The 6465-nt window shown below is 51.2% G+C and overlaps 2 annotated features.

Annotated features, from left to right (window-relative positions):
* Nucleotides 228-994: an enhancer, noted in NCBI's record as "OCT4-NANOG-H3K27ac hESC enhancer chrX:73545595-73546361 (GRCh37/hg19 assembly coordinates)". NCBI's record gives its function as "activates a minimal SCP1, AML or CMV promoter by ChIP-STARR-seq in naive and primed H9 embryonic stem cells {active_cell/tissue: H9 hESC(naive and primed)}" and the evidence as "EXISTENCE:reporter gene assay evidence [ECO:0000049][PMID:30033119]".
* Nucleotides 995-1760: an enhancer, noted in NCBI's record as "OCT4-NANOG-H3K27ac-H3K4me1 hESC enhancer chrX:73544829-73545594 (GRCh37/hg19 assembly coordinates)". NCBI's record gives its function as "activates a minimal SCP1, AML or CMV promoter by ChIP-STARR-seq in naive and primed H9 embryonic stem cells {active_cell/tissue: H9 hESC(naive and primed)}" and the evidence as "EXISTENCE:reporter gene assay evidence [ECO:0000049][PMID:30033119]".

Raw genomic sequence — 6465 nt, 5'->3', positions numbered from 1 at the left:
CCAGCCGGTCCTCCTGAAAACAGAAACCCCACTAGAAGGAGAAACACCTGTCCACTGACATGGTCTTGAGCCAGGAGGTCCCTGTCTGAGCAGGGCAGTGAAAGAAGTCTGAGACAAGAATTGTGTCCTGGACTCTGCAAATTCATCAAAAGTAGCAGTTCACTCTTTAAGGAGATTACAATATATCCCTATGCACATAAAGACCAAGTGGAAAGTAGGGGATCAGAGGCCTGCAAACTGTGGTGAGGGCTGTCCCCTGAGAGGTGGCTAGTGATGGGGGTTAGGGGGTCACAGAAAGTAGAGGTTACAGATCTCTATAGCAAAGCAGATTGGAGTAGCTGCCCTCCTCCCCTTACTCGCTCCTTCCTCCCTATGCCCCTTGCAGGAAGGAGCCACAAGGAGACTGACTTGGATTCCACAGAAAAAAGTACTTTCTACTGATAAGAAACAGAAAGGGGCTGGGCGCAGTGGCTTACGCCTGTAACCCATCACTTTGGGAGGCCAAGGCGGGCGGATCACGAGGTAAGAAGCTCGAGACCAGCCTGGCCAACATGGTGAAACCCCATTTCTACTAAAAGTACAAAAATTAGCTGGGTTCGTGCCTGTAATCCCAGCTACTTGGGAGGCTGAGGCAGGAGAATTGCTTGAACCCGGGAGGCGGAGGTTGCAGTGAGCCAAGATCACGCCACTGCACTCCAGTCTGGGTGACAAGAGCGAGACTCCGCCTGCTCAGGGGCCGGGGCGGGGCGGGGGGGTTTGGGGGGGGAGGGGTGCGGGGCGGAGATACAGAAAGGCCTGCCTCAGGAGGAAGTAAGCACCCGGTCATCAAAGAGAATATCTAAGCAGAGACGGAGGGTCCTTTGTCATTCAGCCAGTGGTTAAACTCCAGGACACTTGGGGGCCCATTGACCCTAAAATGCATTGATCCTCTGTATTTGGAGAAGGAACTCTGCTCAGTTTTGTCTAGCCAAGTCAGGTGATTCCTAGGATTTTTGACATAATAAGAGTTCAGAAACACCCCCAGGGACCAGAGGCCTTTCCTGGGGTTTTGCAAAGGAGCAGCATTAGCATTCTTTACTGCTCTAATCAGCATCTTAATTGCCAGTCTGTCTCTCAGTCTTTATACTAAGTACCTGGTGCATATTCACCCTCCACCCCCAACCTCCAGTTAAGCTTGAGGGCAAACCTGATATTCCCTAGACCATCTGTATTCCACCTCCTCTCCCTCCCCCTTTTAGAGAGCTCAGGAAATTGGTTTTCATCCAACAGGCTCCTGTTGCTTAGTAACAGAAGCACCTGCTCCTAGCAACCAGGAGCCACAAAGATGCTGCAGAAAGAGGGGGCTGTCTGGACCCTGCTCTTGCTCAGCTATAGACAGCTGGCCTTCCCAATATTTTCCTCATCCAGCACAGACACTCTGTCTCAGATGCCTGTTCTTGAAAAGCTGATCTCTGGGGCAGCTGCTGACCTCACCCCCAACCTGCCTGCCTGGAGCCCCTCTGAATCTCACCTCCCAGGCCACCAGGAGGCAGCTCATGATCACAACTTGGTGGCTCTGGGAAGTGCCCCCACTTAAGAGGGAGAGAGGTAACCAGCTATGTTGGTTTCTTCAGTCTGGCCTGGTGGGTGAGAGTAGGGTGTGCCACACAGGCTCCTATAACCCTGGGTGAGAGCGATTCCTGCCCAGGATGTAGGTGGGGGAGTGTGTCATAATCCAGTACATTTGAGAGTGAAGAGAGACCATATCATTCCCTCCTAGAGATCAGGAAACTGAGAGTAAGGACTGGCTCGGGCCCACACAGCCCTTCGGTGACAGCTGATTCTGAAGCAATGCCAGAACGTGGGGCTCCCCAACATAGTCAGCATCCATGAGACTGCCAGCCCACCGTGCAGTGCCAGAGGCTTCTGCTTCCCCTCCCCAAAGGACACCAAGAACACATTTCTCCACTGCCTAAGAAGACCCCAGCCATCTTGCCTTCTGGGATGGCCCGAGCTCAGGGTGATCGCCAATGCAGATTTTTCCATTTGACGAGCTGCTTTCCTAGAATTTTTGAAATAACAAGAGTTTAGAAGTACCCAGGAGAGGTCTGTCCAGAGCTCTAACTCTGTGGACTGGTGCTAATTGGCATCTTCCTTAGTCACAGATTTCTCTGACCTTCACAGGAGGTGCAGGTGCGTGCATTCCCTCTCCGTCTCTCTGGGGCTTCAAGCTCTGAAAGTGGGGCTGTCCACCAGGAGTAAACCACGGAAAGTAGGGGTTGTGAGGACTTTACCCCCATTCCCATTCCCCCAGCCCTGGGCCAGACTCTCAGGAGGGAGCAAGCCTTCGGGCTGTGAGCTTCTTTCTTGCTTCTCCCCTCCCTCTCCCCTTTCTTCCTCCCAAGAAAAGGTCTTCTGGTCTCTGCCTTCCATTGCCTGGCAACCAAACCAGCTGCCATAGGCTGAGAGGAGCAGCACAGACGCTGTTCAATGAGGGGCTGAAATGAGAGGGTGCAGTTGCTGTCTCCAGTCACAAGCACCCATCGGCAATACCACTGGTGCTCACACATTGCATACAAGGCTTTTCTTACATTTGCCAGCGTTATGTCTATTTGAAAAGTCTTCCAAAGGACAGATATGCCACAGTTAGGTAAACTGCTCCACACTTCACTATTTCATATTTAAAACTTGTCGTTATGGAAAATTTCAAGTCTATACACAAGTGGAAGGACATAGTGACCCCTCCTGTACACAGCATCCAGCTTCAGCGATTATCAGCACCTGGCCAGTCACACATCATTGGATGCATAAGTATTTCAATATGGAGCTCTGAAAGATAAGAACCCCTTTTAGCATAACTACAGTGTTATTATAACACTTAAAGTAATTAGTAATCATTCCATAATATCGTCAAATACCCAGGGAATGTCCAAACTTTAAATGTCTCATGTCTCATCAATGTTATGGAGGGTTTATGTTATGGTGTTTTTTCCACTTTTTGTAGTCAGGATGTAAATAAAGTCCACACATTAATCTATGAGTTCCTCTTCAGGAATATCATGAAATTACAAGGAACTAGGATTGTTCTGGAAACCATGGACCTGCAGACTCTTCCTGAGACCCCTGTGAGCTCCACTTAGAGTTACAGAAGGTATTGCTAGTTCCCAAATTTTGAGATGAGACTGAGATTCAAGACAGTGAAAAGAAGAACTCAGTGTCACCCAGCTACCGAGGGACTGGGTCAGGTTGTTAACTCATATCAGGAGTCCAAACTCCTATGTGTGCCATGATGACCACACTTTGACACCCTTACCTGCCCTACCTCCAGAAAGGTGAGGGAAGCCTTTAGGAAGGGGGCAGTAAAGGCCTCCACCACTGCTGCCCCCACCCTTGTACTAGTCCAGGTCCTACCCAGGATCTGTCAAAACCAGTGCAAGCCCACCTTCTGTGATCTCCCTGGCCCATTTCTCTCCTCCCAGGTGACTGCCCTTGGGTGCATGTACCTCAGTCTCCCCCTCACCCAGAAGAAACTTTTATTCCTAAATATCTGTGCCCCACACCCCCGGTGAGCCTCATCCAGAACTTTTGGAAGCAGCTCCCCAAAGAGGTGCTGACTGCCTGAGTGAGGGGCCTTCTGTGTGTGCGTGTGTGGCAGGGGAGGGTGCACTGCAAGTACAGGGAAGTCTCCGGGGAGAGATCACAGATCCTAGCCAGGGAGCCAGCCATCAGCAATGCCAGAGTGACAGTGTCCCTCTTGTCCTCAGCAGGGGCAAGGGAGTGTCCAGGCAACATCCTGGGCCTGAGCATCCTGAGGACAGGGGCTTTGGCCTCACCTCTCCCTCCCATAGGCCTTTTACCCTCTGGGGACAAGAAGTTCTCATCTGTACAGCAAAGATACTCGAGAAAATCAGCCAGGCTGTCCTGTGGTTGAAGGAGGCCTCTCAGCTTGGAGTAATGGAAACTGATCTGGCCAGAGAGTCCTAGCATCAGGTCTTGGTCTCTGCTCTTACATTATGCAGCTCTGTGACCCTGGGCAGGGACCTTCTTTTGTGGGACTCAGTTTTCTTATCTATACAATGAAGGGGCTGGACCAGCTGCTCTCTGGGGGCCCATTAGCTTCCAGGTTTCTATAATCTCCAGGAAAAGGAGACCCATACATTCCTTGGTAAATGGTTTCTGATCTTAATTACCTTTACTGTCAGGAAGATCTTCCTGCCTTTTTGCTTCTGTCTCTGAGCCTTGTTTCCTCTGGCCGAGGCCCTTGTCTAGATAAGCATGTTTATTGTCCCAGAAGTGCCTGGGCAGGCAACAGGCATTTTCATCACCACAACTCAAGCCACCATGGTGGGAGAGTGGGGTCTAGACCCCCGCCAAGTCCCTGCTCCCAATCTCCAAGGTGTTCAGGAGGGGGCAGTGTTTAGGCCACAGGTAGAAGAGAGATCATGGAACCGACGGGCTCCTTGCTCTTCAAGGAGCCCAACTGCCCGGTCTTCCAGATAAGGAAGCAGGAACTTTCCCCAGGAAACACAGAGCTAGGGAAGGGAACAACTGGGACCCCTCAGGAGGGATCTTTCCTGAGCAGGGGTGGGGATGGTGAAGAGGAGAGCCAGTCACCTAAGGAGCAGAGTTGGGGCATGAACTAAAACCAGTTTATGAAAGACATCCTCAGGGAGCTCCTGGGTCCTCCTCGGGGAAGACAGAAAACACACACAAAAACACACACACACGAACACACCCCAAAGAGAAGAGATTAGAAGCATATCTGACTACCAGGTACCTGAGATGGGACTCTAACCTGACCACCCCACCCAGGGGCCACGAGTCTCCCAGCAGCTTCATGTATTCAACAAATAGTGACTGAGTTACCGGGCATCAAACAGTAAACAAGAAGGACATGGTCCCAACCCTGTCTCTCAGGAACTTGCAGCCCAGCTAGGCAGGGGGCAGATGCTCAAGAGAGGATTCCAATCCAGGGAGCTACCCCAGGCTAAAGTAAGCCAGGGGACTGTGGGAACCCAGAACAGCCCATCTCATGGGCTCAGGAATGGTCCTGTGCTGCAGGCTGTGTCCTGGTGAAGCTCAATTAGATCCTCTACCTTGTCACAAGGACAGAGGACTCTCTGTATCCTGGGTTCTTGCCTTGGTGTATTGGAAGAATCGAATCACACCTGGGTTTGGAGAATGAGTGCAAAGTTTATTGAGTGGAGGTGGCTCTCAGCAGATGAGGGAAGCCAGAAGGGGATGGAGTGGGAGGGTTTTCCCCTGGAGTCGGGCCGCTCAGTGGCCTGGGCTCTCCTCTGAGTGTCCCGGCCAAACTCCGCGCGTTGCTCTGCTGGTCTGGGCTTGCGGCGCCGGTGCCTGTTGGTGCGTTCCTCTCGACGTCCAGCCGCCCGTGTGTTCCTCTCGACGTCCAGCCGCCCGTGTGTTCCTCTCGACGTCCAGCCGCCCATGTGTTCCTCCGCTGATGTGCTCCTCGTCCAGCCGCCTGTGTCTTCTGCGATTTGCTTCTCTGGACGTCCAGCAGCTTGTATGTGTGTGTGCTAGGATCTGGGGGTTCTTAAAGGCACAGGATGGGGGCGTGGCAGGCCAGGGGAGGTGTTGGGAAATTCAACATTTGGGCAGGAAAACAAAAATGCCTGTCCTCACATAGATCTGTGGGCACAGGCCCGGGGATGGAGTCCTAGCCAGAGACCCTGCCCTTACCCTCTTCTGTATCATTTAAAGGGACTACGATCTTCCCTTTCCAGCACTTCCCTTCCGTATCACTGGCTGTGTCCATTTCTGGAGGGGTCAGTTCTGGTTTCTTGGAGAAGGTAGCCTTAGGGAGAAATTGGTCTCCCTCTTCAGGACAGACAAGGAAGGTTGAGGATGTGGATGACCTTCAGGCACTTTTTGTCATCTCAGCGAGAATTGGGCAGCTTCTGGGGCTTGGAGGAGAGCTGAGGCTATCCTTCTTTAGGCTAGGGGTTCTCAAAGTTTTTTATTTTTGGTTCTCAAGGTTTTGGAGTTGGTACCCCAAAGGTCATGGTTGACGCTTTGGTGTTTTTTCCAAGCAGAAATTGCATATTGAAACTGGGTGCCCCTTCTCTTGCTGTCTGTGGGGATGTAAAGTGTGGGCTGTTGGGCCTCAGATAATGGCACAATTTTAATCAATTGTTCTGCAAAAAGTTTTCTTCTCTTCCTTGCTGATGCAGAGGGCCAAAATGTTACCTTCTTCAAACCAGTGTCTGTGATTTAGCTTCCATTGACCTTGACAATGAACATAAAGGTCCCTGAGCAAGGCTGCCCCTTTTGTACATCCTTGCTGGTCTTCTCCTATGTATGGGGGTGGTGGTGGGGGATGACACTGGACGGAAGGGGGAACGAATGAGAAAACGTCCTGTAGATTCTACATTTAATGTGTTCAGTGACATGCAGAGAAGTTTAAGTGGACTTTTTGAAACCACCTTTGCAAAAATGATGACAGTAAGAGAAATCTGACATAGT

This window comes from Homo sapiens, chromosome X (genome assembly GCF_000001405.40).
Source record: "Homo sapiens chromosome X, GRCh38.p14 Primary Assembly".
Taxonomy (NCBI): Eukaryota; Metazoa; Chordata; class Mammalia; order Primates; family Hominidae; genus Homo; species Homo sapiens.
The sequence above is the reverse complement of the archived record's forward strand: the minus strand, read 5'-3'. Positions and strand labels throughout refer to the sequence as shown.